At 47.7% G+C, this 21,332-nt stretch overlaps 1 protein-coding gene and 1 long non-coding RNA gene across 10 annotated transcripts in view, besides 1 other annotated feature; one reads left to right on the top strand and one right to left on the bottom strand.

Moving 5' to 3' along the window:
- Positions 1–1,607: 1,607 nt before the first annotated feature.
- The window catches only part of RPS6KA2 (ribosomal protein S6 kinase A2), a 453,410-nt gene continuing 433,685 nt past the window's right edge, over positions 1,608–21,332 (bottom strand). For all 9 annotated transcript variants that reach the window (XM_047419235.1, NM_001318937.2, NM_001006932.3 and 6 more), the window contains 5 exons: positions 15,500–15,661; positions 12,126–12,202; positions 10,469–10,586; positions 6,038–6,175; positions 1,608–5,131 (listed from right to left, as the gene is read on the bottom strand). In XM_047419235.1, coding sequence (XP_047275191.1) covers positions 5,006–5,131; positions 6,038–6,175; positions 10,469–10,586; positions 12,126–12,202; positions 15,500–15,661 — 621 coding nt within the window. In that variant the 3' untranslated portion in view covers positions 1,608–5,005. The remainder of the gene's footprint in view (positions 5,132–6,037; positions 6,176–10,468; positions 10,587–12,125; positions 12,203–15,499; positions 15,662–21,332) is intronic.
- LOC124901460 (uncharacterized) lies at positions 5,130–13,997 on the top strand. Its single transcript, XR_007059866.1, has 2 exons — positions 5,130–5,893; positions 13,885–13,997. It is a non-coding gene; the product is annotated as an uncharacterized LOC124901460 (long non-coding RNA).
- Positions 11,766–11,835: an enhancer, noted in NCBI's record as "active region_25434". NCBI's record gives its function as "activates an Ori minimal core promoter by ATAC-STARR-seq in GM12878 lymphoblastoid cells {active_cell/tissue: GM12878}" and the evidence as "EXISTENCE:reporter gene assay evidence [ECO:0000049][PMID:35858748]".

The following is a 21,332-nucleotide window of genomic DNA, read 5'->3' on the forward strand; positions in this document are numbered from 1 at the left end:
TACGCAGAGCCACGCTCAACTACATGTATGCGGCAGGCGGGATAATCCATCCCCCCCACCAAAGTCCACGTCCTAATCCCTGGAAGCTGTGACAAAGGGGAACTGAGGTTGCTGGTGGAATTCAGGGTGCTAATCAGACCACCTTAAAATAGGGAGAGTTTCCCAAATATCCTGGTGGGCCAGTGTGCTCACAGGGCTTAGAATTGGAAGAGGGAGGCAGGAGGGCTGGGCGGAGGAGAGGGTGTGAGAACTCCACCTGCCACTGCTGAATTTGCAGGAGGGAGGGAGGGACCACGAGCCACCAAGCGCAGATGGCCTCTGGAAGCTGGAAGAAAATCGGATTCTCCCTGAGAGCCTCTGGAAGGAGGCAGCCCTGCCCACATACCGGTTTTAGTTCAGAGAGCCCTGTCTTGGACGTGTGACCCACAGAGCTGTAAGACAGTAGAATATGCTGCTGTTTTAGATTTGCTATGGCAGATATAGAAAATGATACACAGAGGATGTAAGAGGCATTTTTTTCAAATGATGCCTCTTTCAGTAGGCATTTTTTGGGCACTTCTGGGTACAGCAGGAGGCAGGATTTCTTCTGCATCTATTGTTTGTCCTGCAATTTCCTCAGTGGGATCCAGGGCTCCTGCCTACACAGTGAGTCTCACAGATTTCAGCAAGGCCCCCTTCACCCTGCTGGGAGAGCAGCTCAGAAAATGGGGCATCCTACTACAGGAGCAAAGGTGTGTGTGTGTGCCTGTGTCAGTATGGTGTTTTGTGTGTGTGTGTGTGTGCTGCTTGCTGACACATGCTGGTTAGGAATTTACCAAATAGGAAGAAGAAATTAGGTTGGAGAGCCAAGGACCAACAGTGCAGACTGGCTTTATGTCTGTATTAAGAAGGGATGGGCATGCTGAGGCCAGGTGGCAAAGCACAGGAGACACAGTGAGGTAAAAATCCTATTCCCAGGGCCATGTGCTGGGCACCTGCTTTGCTGCACAAGATGACCGTCCACTGTCTCCTGCCAGCCCCAGATCCATCACACAGCTGGGCTCCTCTCAGGGGTGCATCCCCCACACACACACACAGGCCCTAATGCACACACAGATAAACATACATCCATATGTTCACATGTGCATATGTGCTCTCATGCACGTTTATGCATGTATACACATGCATGAAATCATACTTCCACATATACACACATAAGCACACACGTACACACATGCATATGCATGAACTCACCCACCCACACACCTGTGCACACACACATAAGCATACATGTGTACACACTCATGAACTCACCCGCCTACACATGCGCACATGTGCACACACAAGCACACACACACACGTGCATACACATGCATGAACTCACCCACTTACACACGCACACATGTGCACCTACACATATGTACATACACACATATGCATGAGCTCACCCACCTGCACACACCCACGCACAGGGCTCTGAGTTGGAGTGGTCGTGATGCTGCTTCACCTCCCCATGAGGAGTCATATGGTAGCAGCAGAGGTGGTCATGACCTGAAGCCAGCGGGAGGGGCCAGAGGAGTGGGGAGCTATCCAGACTGTTATTGGTAACAACACAGAAAGTCCAAAGGTTATTGTTAGGCTAGAAAAAGATTACACTTCATAAAACCATGTTTATTCAAAAAAATCTATTCAGAAAGTCTGGAAAGCGTAATAAATATCTGTACAGTGGCCACCCATCTCAAACATGAATTACAAAGCAGGAACATAAAAATGATGTGTAAACATAACTGCTGAGCCAGTGAACAAAGTGCTGAGTCAGGAGCGAGGCAGAGAAGCGTGCTCAGTAGAACGACACAGATGCTGCAGCCTCCGTCCTCAGCCCCTCAAGCTGCGCTGGAGTCCACCTTCCGCCCTCTCCACACCGCTCAGGGACCGGCAGCGTCCTTCTCCATTCTCGAATTTGCATGACGCTTAGAAAGGTAGGAGGCAGCAAAACGTGTCAGAAATGAACGGAGTGCAAATCAAACTTTGCCATGTGCTTGAGAGAATCAGTAAAGCGTTAGGTAAAAATCCCAAGTGCAGCTTTAGGATAACACCATTTAATGAACAATACTGGATAACATTAAGTACTATTATCACTTTAAAATTCAAACAATCTTCCAAACATCAATACATACACAGTTAGTTTAAAATCACAGACAAATCGGACTTGAGGGTAAAAGTGAAATCCTCACCTCTTGCCCATGTTTGACTTTGGGATGGAATTCAGCAAAGCTCTCCCACTGCAGATTGGGAGAATCAGGTATTTCTCCCACATGGGGGGCTGCCAGGGAAGGAGGACCCTATAGGGTGGCCAGCAAGGGGCCACTGGCGGTAGGTCAGGAAGCCTGAGATCTAGGGTTCAATGTGTTTATAAGTTCTGTGATTTTCATGACCCGGGGGTGGGGGGTTGGGTTATGATGAACTGTGTGAGGAAGGAGAGCCAGTTAACTTTTGGGGAGGTCTATGTCATTTGTGCAAATCATACGGAGCATTTCATTCGTTGTGGAGGTGCGCTGAGCTGGCAAAATGCGAATTCTAAGAACACCTTCATTTACATGTCGACTGCTGCTTGAAAGCAGTCACTTGCTATTTCACTAAGGTTTTTGAAAGCTTAGTTTAACATATGATACCATAACTTCTTTAGGCTGACTTTTGTGGAAGGATGTCAAGTATCATTTTGTTCTGGATATGGGAGGGAAAGTAGAGGTATTTCACAGACACTCAGCGGAGCAGGGCCAAGCCAGTGTTCTCCTCCGCTGATGCACATCAAATACATGTAAGGACAGAGCTCGCTGTGATGGGGAGTCTCGTCGGTCCCTTTGGCATTCTTAGAGTTCAGAAGCTAAGTCTGTACAAACTGGGATGACTGAAAAAGACCATGAGCTGGTGCCCCATGGGCACACAAGGAGGGAAAACCGTGGCCGCTTTCTCACGGATGCTTTCCCTTTCACTTCCCCCACTTCTCACTCCCTGCACCAGAACCCACTGACTTTAAGCAAACAGACAGGCCTGCACACCAAGCCAGGCCAAAGGGTCCGGGCAGCTGATGGGGGAATCGTTGCCTGTGTAGCAAGCAGAAAAGGTGATGACTTTTGTTCATTTCTGGGAGGACAGATTGTGTGACCTCAGGATTATCCACTTCTTCCTAAGTTTCTAAAAAGAAGTGAAATAATTAAGACCTAAAAAGCAAATTCATCATGGTGGAAGTCGTTCTAGCCTTGGGAAAAAGCATCTTCTATGGAGAAAATGTGAGGAATACCCTGTGGGCACTATGGAAACAGGTATTCAGTCCGACTTGCTCCTTTTATGTTTTGTGGTTCTCTAAGAAAAAAAAAATCCACATGGATTAAAGCTTGTGAAACAAGTTTATATTTTAAGGTCTGAAAACAATCAGACCAAGCTAAGGAGTTATTTTTCAGAACGCAGCACATTTTTTCTTTATTTTTTTTTTTTTAGTTGGGTACGAGAATCGAGATGGAGGGGGAACAAAACCCAACAAAATAACATCTTCTTAGGGAAAACCTGGCTGTGGCCAGCGGGCACCTCCTGAAGCCCTGCTTGCTGCAGAGGCGCCGCTCTTCAGTGATGCAGGGTGAGGGGCTGAGCGGCGCCTCCTCCCATCTAGTCTGCTTGGGGGCCGCCAGGGAGCATCTTCAACACCCTTACAGGACAATGAAGGACCCGTGTGTTCCCTCTGCCGGCTGGACTGGGCGTCGATCCTGCTGCCCGGAACCTCTCACTCGATTTTACTCAATGAAGTAGAGCACAGCATGGCCTAAATGCCCCACACCCGCCCTGTGTGCACACCCAGGGGAATACGGATCAGTGTGAAAAAACAGATCTGTGCAACAGAGACACAAAACGCAACACAAAGCCACAGCATCTACAAAGTGCATCGCTCCTGTCCACGCTGATCTCCGCTGCCCTCCCACCTGTGCCTCTGCCCCTCAGTCTGCTGGGTGGGGCCTGTGTCTCCCTCCAGCCTCCAGCTGGACTGAGAAGGTTTGGGTGGGAAGCCACAGAGCTCCATTTCTCCAATTCACAGTTTCTCCACAGACCAGAAAAATCGAAGTGAACACAGCAAAACCACAGCTTTAGGTGAGCACACAGGAAGCCGACACAGGGCTGAGCAGGTGCGAGAACCCACGACTCCCTGCAAAGCCTCCAGATAGCTGTGTGGCCACGGGAGCTGGGGACAGACGGCAGCCCAGTGCGCTTGGCCCCCCGGGGAAAGCCGAGACTGGAGGTGGACACAGGCTCCTCCGAGAGGCACCCCCTTCCATCCTGGTGACACGGAGCTCTCAAGGCAAAGATCCAGCCTGCCTTCCTCTCGTCTGGGCTCTTACTCCTCATTTGAATCTGGGACAGAGGAAAGGATGGGCTACCCAGCACCTCAGGCAAAAACTGAAGGGCGAGGAGGAAACGGCTCTTTGGATTATTTTGGGCAGAACCAGGCATCTCCTCCTGGACGCCACAGTGCCAACCCCGTCATCCAGCCCGTGGGGAGCCCCGGGATGCCAGGTCACCCCAGCCCTCTGGGGCCCTGCAACCACCAATGGCTGCGCCCTCGCACTGCCACTTTCCCACCGGGTACCTGGGACGTGGGTGTCGGGAGTCTGACCAAACCGACCGGCTTCATAATTGGAAAACAGATCTCTCGGCAGAAACAGAAGCCATGTATGAGAGGACCCGCGGGCTCTGAAAGAAGCCCCCGGCCTCGCACGGGCACGCGAGGTGAAGGGGCGCATTTGGTTTCGCTTGGGAGAAAAGAGAGCGGGCGGGGAGGCTGGCGCAGTGAGGCTTGGAGAAGCCCCCAGGTCAGGACCCTCTCCGGGGCTGAAAAAGAAAACACGGACACGGCGAGGGCGGGCGCCGCCTCCCTGCTGGACTTGTGGTCACTCTGGGTGCCAGACGGGCTCCGAGGCCGGGGTCTGTGAGCCCACGAGGATGCTGGCAGGGGACGCTGGGGCCAGGGTCCCACCCGCTACAGCCGCGTGGACGTGAGTCTCTTCATGCCTCTGCGCTGAGCCAGGTTGGATGACAGCACGGGCTCCAGCCGCGGGGCCTGAGGTGTTCTGTTTAGAGCAAAGTAGGTGGCGGCCATCGCGCCCTGCAAAACAGAAGACAAGGGTGAGAGCCGCGGCGCCTCACTCCAGGGGTTGAGCCGGAGCCCGGGGCCTCCATGGGCCTCAGCTGCCCCCAGGCAACGTGGGAGAAACCAGAGCTTCCCCAGGGTCCCTGGAGCATGGAGTGCTGTTAGCCTGCCGCCAGGGGCCAGCACACGTGGGCCCCAGGAGACAGGGGCCCTGTCTCCTGCACCTGCCCCCCCCACCCCATGCCACCCTGGCACTGTGCTTGTGCCTTGGGGGAAAATGTTTTGGACGCTTGTGGAGCCCCCAGGCTGAGGTCACGTGATCCCCTGCATTCTGACAGTGAGGCCAGGTCTGTTTTGGGGCTCGCTGGGTCCTAGGGGACACAGCGAATGCCAGGGCCAGTCACCCTGGACTTTGGCCACTGTTGAGGAGTCTGGACTCATTTGGAGGAACAGGCATATCCTGGAGTGAATCCAAATTCTCAGAATGGATCTGGAGGGGGCGGCTCTTAACTGGATCATGCCTATTCCTGCTGGGGTGGGACAGTCTACACTTTTCAGAAAAGGAGTCCCACCCAGAGGATGGGGTGCCTGAGAGGCTACTGCTGCCTGAATGTAAGTCACTTATGAAGGGGACTTTTTTTGCATGTGTGGCCTAGAATAGAGGCTTTGAACTTGAGTGGAACAGCCACACCAGCTGCCACCACGTCAGCAGAGGCTGCCACCTACTCAGGTAGGAGCCCTGTGCAATACTGCACGTGTCTGGTGAAGTGCACGAAGGTAGGTGGGCCGGCGGTGCAGTTTGGGGCTGCTATGGGCTCTTTCTCTGCACTCTGTGGTTTCTTCGGAGTGATTGCAAGGTATCAGGCTCTTTTCTGGGTTTCCCATTCCCACCACTCTGTCCTCACTGTCGCCTGCCGGTACCTTCACCAGGTGCACGTCCTGTCGGCTGAGCTGGTTTGGGGACAGGTACTCTCTGTTGACCACCCACGGGTGTTTGAGCACTTGCATCGCCGTCAGGCGCTGATGAGGGTCCACGTGGAGCATCTTGGACACGACGTCCTGCCAGGGAAGGTCATGAGAGTCGGGGGGATGGTTGGATCATTTGTGCTGGGTCAGAGAGCCTCCCCAGCAGAACTCCTCTCCCTCTATGGCAACACCCAACCACTATGCTGAGTGTGGGTCTTTGCATTTTGGGGTCATGTTCACTTTCAGGTTTAGAAGTATGTCAATGGTTTTTAGCTTTAAATATTACCAAACTTGGAAGTTCACTGAAGGTTTATCTTTTATTAAATATTTCATGTCTAAAAAGTTAAATGTGGAAATATTAGATGATGCATGTAAATCGATGAAACACTGTTTCTTGTAACAATTATATCTTTCCAAAGGGAAAAGCTGAAATAATTAATATTCCACAGGTAGAAATCAATTCATAATGATGCACATACTTACATTTTTTATCAGGACTACCCATAAATATTTACTACAAATAATCAGAAACCGCAAAATCTACAATCTGGAGCCATCAGATATGTCCAGTGGGTTCATGTGCAATAATGGTATTTTTCCATTTCATTGTAAAGTCGTAGCAGTAAAAACCTCTAAAACAAGATTCTACATGTGTGTACACATGCACATACAATACAGTGCACATTCTATTACAGTGAATTACATTTGCAGAGTACTTGGTTACAGTGTGAATTACATTTGCGGACAAACCTGATGCTTCTGCTCTAATCACCATAATCATCCTTGAGGTAAATGGGGCAAATATTACTTTTCCTAATTTGCAGATGAAGACATTACTGCCTGAGGAAGATCCAAGATGAGAATCCATATTCTCTCCACTAGCCTACCCTCCTTCCTTAGTGTTCCCACCACATTTGAAGAGGTAATAAAATGAATTAGAATGCGGCTGGGCGCGTTGGCTCATGCCTGTAATCCTAGCACTCTGGGAGGCTGAGGCAGGTGGATCACTTGAGGTTAGGAGTTTGAGACCAGCCTGGCCAACATGGTGAAACCCCGTCTCTTCTAAAAATACAAAAATGAGCTGGGTGTGGTGGCATGCGCCTATAATCCCAGCTACCTGGGGGGCTGAGGCAGGAGAATCACTTGAGCCCAGGAGGCAGAGGTTGGAGTGAGCTGAGATTGCACCATTGCACTCCAGAGTGGGTTACATGGCAAGAGTCCATCTCAAACAAACAAACAAACAAAAAAGAATGCATATAGAATGTGAAGTTGAATTACTCATTAGAATTTTGGGTCATGAAACAACTAAGAAATACTATGCACAATAACAATATCTTTTTTATACAGAAAAATCTAATGCCTTTTGATATTTGATAACATTGACCTTGGTAATTTCTTGAAACAAGTATCTCCTAGAAAAATGAGTGTTGTCATTTTCAGGTGTAAAAACAAAAGCCTTTAGGGCTTTAATAACTCTTTTCACGATCTTATAGTCATGACACTGAGAGAAGCAGTATTTTTACTTCATACCTGTAGGATGTGGAGAAAGACATACTAATTTGTAGCTTTGCTGGTGTTTGGAGGACTGGAGGTTCTGTTGTGTGCTAAGTAAGAGAAAGGAAGAGGCACAGGGGAAAGACGGGGGATGTGGTGGTGGTAGGGACTGGTGGTGAAGGGCAGGAAGGGTTGGTGAGGCCCTGTGAGGCGGCAGAGACCTCTGCCTGCAGCAGCGATCTTGACAATGTGCCCTTGTCCTTGACTTTGCTCCTTTTCCAACACCTTCTCCCTGCTCCCATGCCAGCTTCCAAGATGGCCTTCCAGACACACCACCAGCACCCACGTCCTAGTCTGAGGCTCTATTTTGGGAACCAGAACTAAGACATCTACACTCATTTAAGACAAAGTGAGGGTGTGGACAGGAGCATTTGGACTGTCAGGGTCTGACATCTGGGATATGCTCACTAAATGCCAGCTGCCATCACCTCTGCCACCACCTCCACCATCACCCTTACCATCATTCCTCCATCACCCCCACCATAATCTTCACCATCACCTCCACAATCATCCTCACCGTCCTTCCTCCATCACCCCCACCATTACCCTCACCACAATCACCTTCACCATCATCTTCACCATCTCCACCATCATCCTCACCATCCTCCTCCATCACCCCCACCATTACGCTCACCATCATCTTCACCACCTCCACCATCATCCTCACCATCTCCACCATCACCCTCACCATCCTTCCTCCATCACCTCCACCATCCACCCTCACCATCCTTCATCACCCCCACCATCACCCTCACCATCATCTTCACCACCACCTCCACCATCACCCTCGCCATCCTTTCTCCATCAACCCTACCATCACCCTCGCCATCATCTTCACCACCACCTCCACCATCACCCTCACCATTTTTTCTCTGTCACCTCTGCCGTCACCCTTGCCATCCCTCCTCCATCACCTCTACCATCACCCTCCACCATCATCTCTGCCATTACCTTCCATTATCTTCACCATCACCTCCACTATCATCTCTGCCATTACCCTCATTAGCCTCACCATCATCCCCATCACCTCCACCATTACCTCCACAATCACTACCATCATCTCTCACTATCATCTCCCACCACTCCCACCGTCACCTCCATGATCACTGCCACCACCTCTGCCACTTTTGCCATCCCTTCATCACCTCCATCATTTCCTACCATCACCTCCAAAATGATCACCTCCACGATCACTCCCGCCACCTCTGCCACCACTTCTGTCATCCCTCCACCATCAGCTCCATCCCTGCTCCCACCATTACCTCCACCATCAGCTCCATCCCTGCTCCCACCATTACCTCCACCATCATCTCCACAATCGTCACCTCCACCATCCCTCCACAATCACCTCCATCATCACTCCTGCCATTATCTCCACCATCATTTCCACAATCATTCCCTCCACCATGCCTTCACCATCACCTCCATCATCGCTGTCGCCACCTCTGCCACCACTTCTGCCATCCCTACACCATCACCTCCATCATCATTCCCGCCATTACCTCCACCATCATCTCTACAATCATCACCTCCACGCTCACTGCATGAAGTTGCACTGAGATGTCAACAGCAGAATTGGAATCAGAGCCCCTGACTCCTTCTCTTTCAGCCCTTTTACATGAACACGGGAACAGCTGTTGGTGCTGCTTACCAGTGGCTGGATTATGATTTACTATTGGATTAGAGAGGAATTTGATGATGCCAAGTAAAAAAGCGTCTGATGGGCAAACGAAATAAGGCCGGTCATAAACTGTGTGGACTGCAGACAAGGCCAAATTCAAAGTATTTTACAAGAACAGAAGTATACCTCTGGACAAGAGCTCTACTTGTTTGTTTGGTTTATGAACATGCAGGGCAATCATTCTGCAATATCACTAAAAGCATGGTGGTTAATTTTATATGTCATCATGGCTGGGTTATGTTACCCAGTCTAGAGGTTGCTGTGAAGGTGTTTTTCAGGATGTGGTTAACACTTAAGTCAGTCGACTTGAGTAAAGCAGTTACCCTGCACAATGTGGGTCAGCCTCATCCAATCAGTGGAAGGCCTCCTTAGGAAAAAGACTGCTCCCCTGAGGAAGAGGGAATTCTGTGGCAGATAGCCTGTGGTGGGCAACTGCCCCATCCATTTCTCCTTGGGGCTCCAGCCTGCCGGCTGCCCTGCAGTCACAGACTTCCCCGTCCCCACAATCACGTGAGCCAATTTCTTACAAATAAATCTCTCTCTCTATACACACACACACACACACACACACACACACACGCACGCATGTTCTGTTTGTTTCTTTGGAGAACCCTGCATAAGATACCAAGATAGTGGAAAATGTGAAAATGCTAAAAATGTTTTTGAAAATAATGTTTTTAGATGAAAGGCTTAAAAGATGCCGAGGATAAGGCCAGGTGTGGTGGCTCATACCTGTAATCCCAGCAATTTGGGAGGCTGAGGTGGGTGGATCACTTGAGGTCAGGAGTTCAAGACCAGCCTGGCCAACATGGTGAAACAAAAAAGTTTTAGTACAAAACTTTTTTGTACTAAAAATACAAAAGAGTTAGTCGGGTGTGGTCGCACACGCCTGTAGTCCCAGCTACTTGGGAGGCTGAGACAGGAGAATTACTTGAACCCAGGAGGCAGAGGCTGCAGTGAGCCAAGATTGTGCCACTGCACTCCAGCCTGGGTGAGACAGAGCGAGACTCCATTTCAAGAAAAAAAAAAAAATATGCTGAGGATAAAATACCTATACTACTTACATAAAACCTATCCCCTGGCTTCCTCAGAAATCATATGGCTATTTCAGAATCTGAATATTTAAAAGCAACGCTGGGACATGTACTCACTTTAGCTGCGTCAGATATCGAGTCCCAGTTTCCCCCAGAAAGGGCATACTTCCCACTGCCGATCCGCGCCAGAATCTCCTCAGGGGTATCGTCTGGCCCATTTGCAAAAGGGGTAAATCTGTATAATTAGACAAATTTGTGGTAATGAGCTTGTATTTTACAACCTAAAATAAAGTTTGCAAGTTGATATCACCCCTTGGCTGTTCAAAGGAATAGCACTTTGCTTCTCCCTCCTCTGCTCTGAAGCCAGGATTCATGGGAAAGCGGAACTTACCTCTAACACTATGCCCGTTTTCCTTCCTTAGCAATTGGGTGGCTAGAGGTTGATGGGCAAGTGGGAGAGCCCTGTGAGACCTGTGCTGTATCCCCTCCGGACCCAGGTAAACTGGGATGGGGTGGCCTAGTGAGTTGCCTGGTGCCGTGGTTTCCACGGTGATGGTGTGGCATCATGCGAGAGAGCCTGAGACGTGGAGTCTGAGAGACCCACGGTGGATGTATTCCCAACTCTGTGTTCTTTGACAAGTTAACTTTTTGAGCCTCCACTGCAAATGCAGAGTGTATGCACAAATACACATACATGCTTGGTGCAGCTCTGGCCATATTCCAAGCGCGTGGGAGGTGTTCATGGTGTCCCACCTTAAAACACACCCACACACTCCTAGGAAAGGAAGGACACGTGTGCTGCCAGCGCTTCCTCTAGTGGGAAAGTGTGTGATCTAGTTTTCCGTATAGGCAAAGTGAGTATTAGAAGCGTCACAAAGTAACCTGACTGTGGTATTGGTAAGAAACTGAGGTTCCTTCCTTTGCTACTGCAGTCCTCAGGGTGCGGCTTCAGGGCCTGATTTACTCTCCTTCTGCTGTGGACACTACCTGTTGACTTATGATGAAATAAGTGAAAAGCAGGCCAAGCTCATTCATTCTCATGAGGGCATTCAAGCCATTTTGCTACAGCAAACAGGATTCGATGGTCTAGGGTTCTTTTCTTTTTGCCTCCATTCAAGTATTTAATAAACGTAATAGGAACCAGCGGATCTTGTAAGATCCTAGACCTTCCTGCCTAGAAGCAACCATGGTGTGTCCTCTTCTCACTCAGGGGAGAGGGAAGGGAGGCTGGTACAGGTTAAAGTGTTTAGCCCAGAGTCACGGCTAGTGGCGAGTGGGGCTCAGATGGAAGTCAGCTGTCTGGATGGCAGGCCCAGGCCACTTTCTGTAACACCACGTGTCTTACCACAATGAACCGGCCCGTGCATGACTCATGACCACGAAACCCAGGTACAGATGCTGTTTGACCCTGAAGCTGCTATGGGGCTTTCGGTTTAAGAGGATGTCTGGAAGGCACATCTGTTGCTACCTTTTAAAACAGTGGCAGGTGCAGCAGAGAGAATGGGGACTATGCTGGCAAAAGACTTGATGTTTTGTTCATGAGCTGAGTTTAAAGAAAATGGGTGGCTACATTTCTTGTCCTTGTTGTTCAGTTGTCCTGAGGGGCTAAGAAAGTCTGCGAGTGTTCACTCAAGGCCTGGGAGTGTTTGCATACACGTTGGGTTTGCCCACATGCGCACACTAGGACAGGGCTGGCCCTGGTCCCCTGACAGATCAGCCACTGAGGCTGCTGCCCTGTGTCTCCTCCTGACACCTGTTTGAGGTGACTGCTTACCCTGCCAGCATGGTGTACAACAGGATCCCCAAACTCCAGATGTCACACGCCGCATCATAGCCTTGACGCTTCAGGACCTAGGAGGGAACGACAGGACACCGGCACGCCCTTCACTAAGGACATTCAGATTGACAGCACGTTTCTCCAGCGGCATCCTACGCCGGCAAGCTGGGGACCAGGAGGAGGGCGGTGCCATGTCTTCGGTGTGACCACTGTTTCTTAAGGCAAAGCCAACCCTAAGGTACTGCAGTGGGACTCCTCCCAGGCCAGCCACATGGTAAACTAGTACTCTTTCCAGACACATGACAGACAGGCTGAAAAGGAGGGCCTTAATTTTTAAGGCAGAAGGATTTTTCTGTTACGGTAAAATATGTATGACATAAAATTGACCATCAAAGCCCTTTTTAAGTGCACAGTTTAGCAGCATTAAGCCCATTTACATTGTGGTGCCAACATCACCACCATCCATCCACAGAGCATTTCACCTTCCCAAACTGAAACTCTGTCCCCATTAAACAACAACTCCCTGTCCCCCAGCCCCCAACACCTACCCTTCTACTGTCCGTCTGTGTGAATCTGACTCCTCCAGGGACCTCATAGGAGTGGAATTATGCAATGTTTGTCTTTCTGTGACTGGCCCATTTCACTTAGTATAACACCCTAAGCTTCCTCCAGGGGTCAGAAGTTCCTTCCTTCTGCAGGCTGGACAATGTTCCGCTGTGTGTGCATGCCACGTTTTGCTTACCCATTCATCCACCGAGGGACACTCTCGTGGCTTCCACCTTTTGGCTGTTGTGAATAGTGCTGCTATGAACATGGGTGGACACATGTCTCTTTGCGTCCCTGCCTTCAATTCTTTTGGGTATATACCCAGAAGTTCCATTCTGGGCTACGTGATAACATTTAATTTTTTTGAAGAACTGTTAAAGCAGCAAAACTTGTATGCATCCTAGGATTACATACTTCAGTAGAGGGCAATCCTCTGATATAGTTACAGTTGAATAACAACAAAGGAAGCCACAATGGTGCTCATGGATTACTGCAGATGACTGGATTTAGCATTAAATATCGAGTCGGGAGAGCTCGGCTCAATTTCCTTAGAGATGAGAGCAAGGAGCCTGTCCTTTTCTCTGTATCGCTGCTACCATGTGTGAGCCTGCACCATGGAGGGGACCAGCCAGCGCATGCTGAATGAATGTGGTGCTCATGGTGCAAGCCTCACTTCCTAATCCATCAGCGGGGTGACCTTCAGAAGTCACTTACACACATGGAGCTTGTGCTTTCTGACTCTGTGAAACATGGTTAATAGATTTTACCCTGCCTACTTTGTATGGTGGATGAGAGTGAAAGTAAAAAAAGTTGGTAAAAGTGCTTTGTAAATGGCAAAGGAATATCACAACCTAGGGCATTCTACAATCAATAAAATCAATATTGTGGGAGACCAGAATATGCCACCCCAAAATATGCTGCATAGGCGTGAGGGGCGCTGAGCTGAAGATACATAAGAAGCAGCAGATGCAGGAGAGCTCTGTGTCCTCCATTTGTCTAAAATCAGGACATGGATTAAGACAAAAGGTACCTACCCCCAACCAGAGAGGACAAAGGCTTCCCCTAGGGACAGCTTTGGATGCATGTGGTCCCACCTGGGACCAGCCTCCATAGGCCAGCCCTGCACCTCCCCAAGCTGCAGCCCCTGGAGACCCTAACCCTCTTCCTTTGTCTTGCCAGGTCTCTAAAAATTCTCTGTTCTTTGTTGCAGATACCATGTAGGCTGGATTCAAAGCCACCTCTGTGAGGATGACTCCTTCTCTGGGCATCTCGCATGCATAAATGAGAAGATGTGTGTTAATAAACTTCTTTTTCTCTTGTTAATCTGTCTTTTGTTACAGGGGTCTGGTCCAGCTAAGAACTTATGAGGGATGAGGAAAACGTCATTTTCCTCCCCCATAATATTATCAATATTAATATTGATTAAGTAAGGCATGAACAGAGGCTTATAACCTGGTTACTTTCATTTTTTTTAGTTTTTATTTTTTGAGACGGAGTCCTGCTCTTTCAACCAGGCTGGAGTGCAGTGGCGTGATCTCGGCTCACTGCAACCTCCACTTCCCGGGTTCAAGCGATTCTCCTGCCTCAGCCTCCTGAGTAGCTGGGACTGTGGGCACACACCACCACACCTGGCTAATTTTTGTATTTTTAGTAGAGACGGGGTTTCACCATGTTGGCCAGGCTGGTCTCCAACTCCTGACCTCAGGTGATCCACCTGCCTCGGCCTCCCAAAGTGCTGGGATTACAGGCGTGAGCCACCGCACCCAGCCAAACTTGGTTATTTTTAAAGGGGCCACAGGTTGCTCAAGTGTCTGGATGACCCCTGCATAACCTAAAACAGCCTCTCAGTCCAGCCCCTGGCTGCACATCCGTTCACGTCTCAGCACGCAGAAGCATCTTTGCAATGGACCAGTGGCCCTGGGTGACCTCTTAAACAACTCCAAGACCCACAGTGAGATGCCAGGCGCCTCAGACCTGGCTGCTCGCTTGACTCCCCTCCCATCGGAGCAGCTCTGGTCCAGTTCCATCAAGAACCCACGGGATCCACACAGACTCTGAAGTCCGCCTTCCTTCCCAGTTCCCTCCTCCCCTGTCCCATTGGCAACATCAGCCACAGCCCTTCCCTTCCTCTCTTTACCACTGGCTTTTCTCAAAGGCAAGAAATTGGGCTTAGATTTATAAACACATCCTTGAATTCAGAACCTAATGGAACTTGTTCCCGGGAAATGTGAAAAGAGAGAAGTTCACCAGGTGCCTGCTAGCTGCTCCGAGCGGGGCTGGGAGCAGACACAGACACTGAACAACGTAAGCTTTCAGTGGCAAATCACCCCGGAGCCCTGCGGTTCTCAATCTGACAGCTGCTGACTTGCTGCTGTCGGGGAACCAATCTGGAGTGAGAATTGGGGTGCAGAGAAAATCCGTAAACTTAGTTGCTCCCTGCGCTATGACGGATCCATTTCCCATCCCAGGTGAACCGCAGCTCTGCGTCCTGGTTGTATAAGGAGACTACTGCATCATCTCTCTAACTTGGAATAAATATGCAGATTTCATCCAAATTGTCTACAGAAGACAATTTTACATAAAAATGTTACTGTTGAAAAGTTTTTTCAAATGGGAAAATGAGAATGATAAGAACAACTACGTTTAAGCAAGATTGGCCCCTGGCTCAAGAGACTGAAGGTTCTCGTTTCTGTTTCCCAACACCACTGCTGACGCAGCTCAAGCCGCCTCTGACATCCCCGCTGTCCGGTGGCTCTGCAGTGGGAGGGGGCAGAGCCTGTCTTTGCGGATAGAGAGGCCTGGGTCTGCAGTCGGGGAATGCTCACCTCCGGGGCCACGAAATTGGCCGTGTAGCAGGGTGTCATGAGCAGCCCGTTCCCCGCGCGCAGCTGCTTGGCAAAGCCGAAGTCGCAGACTCGGATGGATTCTGGGCTCCCCGACTCATCCCTGTACAGGATGTTACTCGGCTTCAGGTCTCGATGAACAACCTGCAAGACAGAAGGCACAGTGCCTACTTGGGGGCTGAGGACTGAGCAGGAGAGGGAGGGCAGGTGCATTTGGAGGGGAGGGTGCATTTGGGAACTGTCTTCCTAGCAGGTCCTGCAAGCAGGCAACAGGCCAACAGTGTCAACAGCTGCTGTCTTCTCCAGAGGGCCCCCCACCTTCTCCCATTCTCCTGTGGTGGTCACTCACTTCTGAGCTCCTGGTGTCACCTGCTTTTACAGTGAATGAATATTTGAGTAAATAAGTGAGCACCTCTCCAAGTTGAGGCCGCAGCTTACTGGAGCTGTCACATAAAAGGAAATGTGGTGAGCTCTGGAGATAGGAATGAAAAGCATTTTAAAGATGATATTCATTCAATAACTACTCCCTGTGTGCCCACCCCCATGCACTGTGAGGTGTTGGAGCAGCACCAGTGAGCAGCACAGATCAGGCACCTGCTGTCCTGGGTGCAGCAACTCGTTGGGGAGACGGACCAGGGCCACGCGATCATGCAGTCACTCTGCAATCATGCTCTGAGGCCTCCCATGGAGGACTGCGCTGGCTGCAATGATGGTGGGGCCAGCACACCTCAAAGCAAAGCAGCTATTTAGGGCACAAAGCAATGTGTTCTGAGGGGACAGAGGGCCATTGTGAGGACGTGTGGCGTGCCTTTGTACAGCTTGGATCCTGAACATCTCAATTGTCCTAATGAAATCCAGTGGGAGGATGTAGAAGGGAATTAAAGGGACACACTCCAGCAGTCAGGCCTGGTTTACAGAGGTCCTGATGGCAAGGCAATCAAAGACTGTGGCTTTACTTCCATTACCTCCCCTCATTAAATACAAGCAGATCTGCAGAAAACATCATCCAAAGGGCTTCCCCTGAGTTTGACTGTACTGGGAAAACCTGGAAGTAAGTGCTTAATGCTCAAGACTGGGTGACCACACAGAAAAGACCCCAGTGTGTGGTCCTGGAAGAATATTCCCGTTTGGAGATGACTGCATTCTGAAAACTCAGGACTACGCACACAGCTGGCTAAGACAGTATTTCCTGCTTCAGGAGAAACACTGGGAAGAGATGGCGCACAGAGGAAACATGTGATACGGTGCAGCTGCCTCCCTGTGAGGCCAGGGCTGGGACCAAGAGCACTGCCTGGAACCAGAGAGTGGGAGTCCAACCCCACTGGCCACCTACTCATGTGTGACCTTGGCCAAGATACTCAAACTCCTGTGCCCCTCGCCTGCACAGTGGGTGTGATCTAGGGTTAGGGAGTCAGTGAATGAAGAGCTTGAAGTGCAGCCTGGATCACGGTGAGGCCCACGTGAACCTCAGGCATCACCGTCATCCCTGCCTCAGCGTCCCTGCGCTCCGGTTAATGAATTCTTTACCCGTTGCAAGTAACGAAAATTCTTAATTTCTTTTGATTAAGGCCAAAGTATTTTTTTGGCTAAAGTTGGTAAAAATGATTTTAGACCCTCAAAGGGTAGCAGAGTCAGCCACCCCAAAATATGCTGCTTTGGCATAAGGATTATTTGGAGCTGAAAACAACTGAAAAGATGCAGATATAAGCAAAGCTCTCTGCCCTCCCCTTCTTTACCTAAAAGGAGGATATAAATGGGTAAAGGTGTCCCTCCTGTCCTCTCTGCCTGGAAGGATGGAAGGGAAACTCCTCTAGATGCTTACAGCCTGGAGAAGCTTCCAGAATAATCTCTATAACAAATGTTCCTAACTAGCCCTCATCTTCTGTTAGTTTCCCATAGACTTAGCTTCCCACAGTCTGCTGCCTTAGAAACACAGTCCTTTTTCTTTGTCTTCTTTAAAAATTATTATTCTTTTTAAAATTTAAAAAATTTTAAAATTTGAGCTCTTTTAGGGCTCCTGAAGGAAGCACTAAACATGGAAAGGAACAACAGGTACCAGCCACTGCAAAATAATGCCAAAATGTAAAGACCATCGAGACTAGGAAGAAACCGCATCAACTAATGAGCAAAATAACCAGCTAACATCGTAATGACAGGATCAAATTCACACATAACAATATTACCTTTAAATGTAAATGGACTAAATGCTCCAATTAAAAGACACAGACTGGCAAATTGGATAGAGTGTCAAGACCCATCAGTGTGCTGTATTCAGGAAACGCATCTCACGTGCAGAGACACACATAGGCTCAAAATAAAAGGATGGAGGAAGATCTACCAAGCAAATGGAAAACAAAAAAAAGGCAGGGGTTGCAATCCTAGTCTCTGATAAAACAGACTTTAAACCAACAAAGATCAAAAGAGACAAAGAAGGCCATTACATAATGGTAAAGGGATCAATTCAACAAGAAGAGCTAACTATCCTAAATATATATGCACCCAATACAGGAGCACCCAGATTCATAAAGCAAGTCCTGAATCACCTACAAAGAGACTTAGACTCCCACACAATAATAATGGGAGACTTTAACACCCCACTGTCAACATTAGACAGATCAACGAGACAGAAAGTTAACAGGGATACCCAGGAATTGAACTCAGCTCTGCACCAAGCAGACCTAATAGACATCTACAGAACTCTCCACCCCAAATCAACAGAATATACATTTTTTTCAGCACCACACCACACCTATTCCAAAATTGACCACATAGTTGGAAGTAAAGCTCTCCTCAGCAAATGTAAAAGAAGAGAAATTATAACAAACTATCTCTCAGACCACAGTGCAATCAAACTAGAACTCAGGATTAAGAAACTCACTCAAAACCTCTCAACTACATGGAAACTGAACAACCTGCTCCTGAATGACTACTGGGTACATAACGAAATGAAGGCAGAAATAAAGATGTTCTTTGAAACCAACGAGAACAAAGACACAACATACCAGAATCTCTGGGACACATTCAAAGCAGTGTGTAGAGGGAAATTTATAGCACTAAATGCCCACAAGAGAAAGGAGGAAAGATCCAAAATTGACACTCTAACATCACAATTAAAAGAACTAGAAAAGCAAGAGCAAACACATTCAAAAGCTAGCAGAAGGCAAGAAATAACTAAAATCAGAGCAGAACTGAAGGAATAGAGACACAAAAAGCCCTTCAAAAAATTAATGAATCCAGGAGCTGGTTTTTTGAAAGGATCAACAAAATTGATAGACTGCTAGCAAGACTAATAAAGAAAAAAAGAGAGAAGAATCAAATAGACACAATAAAAAATGATAAAGGGGATATCACCACCGATCCCACAGAAATACAAACTACCATCAGAGAATACTACAAACACCTCTACGCAAATAAACTAGAAAATCTAGAAGAAATGGATAAATTCCTCGACACATACACCCTCCCAAGACTAAACCAGGAAGAAGTTGAATCTCTGAATAGACCAATAACAGGCTCTGAAATTGTGGCAATAATCAACAGCTTACCAACCAAAAGAGTCCAGGACCAGATGGATTCACAGCCGAATTCTACCAGAGGTACAAGGAGGAACTGGTACCATTCCTTCTGAAACTATTCCAATCAATAGAAAAAGAGGGAATCCTCCCTAACTCATTTTATGAGGCCAGCATCATCCTGATACCAAAGCCTGGCAGAGACACAACCAAAAAAGAGAATTTTAGACCAATATCCTTGATGAACATTGATGCAAAAATCCTCAATAAAATACTGGCAAACCGAATCCAGCAGCATATCAAAAAGCTTATCCACCATGATCAAGTGGGCTTCATCCCTGGGATGCAAGGCTGGTTCAACATATGCAAATCAATAAATGTAATCCAGCATATAAACAGAACCAAAGACAAAAACCACATGATTATCTCAATAGATGCAGAAAAGGCCTTTGACAAAATTCAACAACCCTTCATGCTAAAAACTCTCAATAAATTAGGTATTGATGGGACGTATCTCAAAATAATAAGAGCTATCGATGACAAACCCACAGCCAATATCATACTGAATGAGCAAAAACTGGAAGCATTCCCTTTGAAAACTGGCACAAGACAGGGATGCCCTCTCTCATCACTCCTATTCAACATAGTGTTGGAAGTTCTGGCCAGGGCAATTAGGCAGGAGAAGGAAATAAAGGGTATTCAATTAGGAAAAGAGGAAGTCAAATTGTCCCTGTTTGCAGATGACATGATTGTATATCTAGAAAACCCCACTGTCTCAGCCCAAAATCTCTTTAAGCTGATAAGCAACTTCAGCAAAGTCTCAGGATACAAAATCAATGTACAAAAATCACAAGCATTCTTATACACCAATAACAGACAACCAGAGAGCCAAATCATGAGTGAACTCCCATTCACAATTGCTTCAAAGAGAATAAAATACCTAGGAATCCAACTTACAAGGGACGTGAAGGACCTCTTCAAGGAGAACTACAAACCACTGCTCAATGAAATAAAAGGATACAAACAAATGGAAGAACATTCCATGCTCATGGGTAGGAAGAATCAATATCGTGAAAATGGCCATACTGCCCAAGCTAATTTATAGATTCAATGCCATCCCGATCAAGCTACCAATGACTTTCTTCACAGAATTGGAAAAAACTACTTTAAAGTTCATATGGAACCAAAAAAGAGCCGCCCGCATCGCCAAGTCAATCCTAAGCCAAAAGAACAAAGCTTGAGGCATCACACTACCTGACTTCAAACTATACTACAAGGCTACAGTAACCAAAACAGCATGGTACTGGTACCAAAACAGAGATATAGATCAATGGAACAGAACAGAGCCCTCAGAAATAACGCCGCTTATCTACAACTATCTGATCTTTGACAAACCTGAGAAAAACAAGCAATGGGGAAAGGGTTCCCTATTTAATAAATGGTGCTGGGAAAACTGGCTAGCCATATGTAGAAAGCTGAAACTGGATCCCTTCCTTACACCTTATACAAAAATTAATTCAAGATGGATTAAAGACTTAAATGTTAGACCTAAAACCATAAAAACCCTAGAAGAAAACCTAGGCATTACCATTCAGGACATAGGCATGGGCAAGGACTTCATGTCTAAAACACCAAAAGCAATGGCAACAAAAGCCAAAATTGACAAATGGGATCTAATTAAACTAAAGAGCTTCTGCACAGCAAAAGAAACTACCATCAGAGTGAACAGGCAACCTACAAAATGGGAGAAAATTTTCGCAACCTACTCATCTGACAAAGGGCTAATATCCAGAATCTACAATGAACTCAAACAAATTTACAAGAAAAAAAAAAACAACCCCATCAAAAAGTGGGCGAAGGACATGAACAGACACTTCTCAAAAGAAGACATTTATGCAGCCAAAAAACACATGAAAAAATGCTCACCATCACTGGCCATCAGAGAAATGCAAATCAAAACCACAAATCAAAACCACTTTTCATTAAAAAGTTAGGAAACAACAGGTGCTGGAGAGGATGTGGAGAAATAGGAACACTTTTACACTGTTGGTGGGACTGTAAACTAGTTCAACCATTGTGGAAGTCAGTGTGGCGATTCCTCAGGGATCTAGAACTAGAAATACCATTTGACCCAGCCATCCCATTACTGGGTATATACCCAAAGGACTATAAATCATGCTGCTATAAAGACACATGCACACGTATGTTTATTGTGGCACTATTCACAATAGCAAAGACTTGGAACCAACCCAAATGTTCAACAATGATAGACTGGATTAAGAAAATGTGGCACATGTACACCA

This window comes from Homo sapiens, chromosome 6 (genome assembly GCF_000001405.40).
Source record: "Homo sapiens chromosome 6, GRCh38.p14 Primary Assembly".
Classification (NCBI taxonomy): Eukaryota; Metazoa; Chordata; class Mammalia; order Primates; family Hominidae; genus Homo; species Homo sapiens.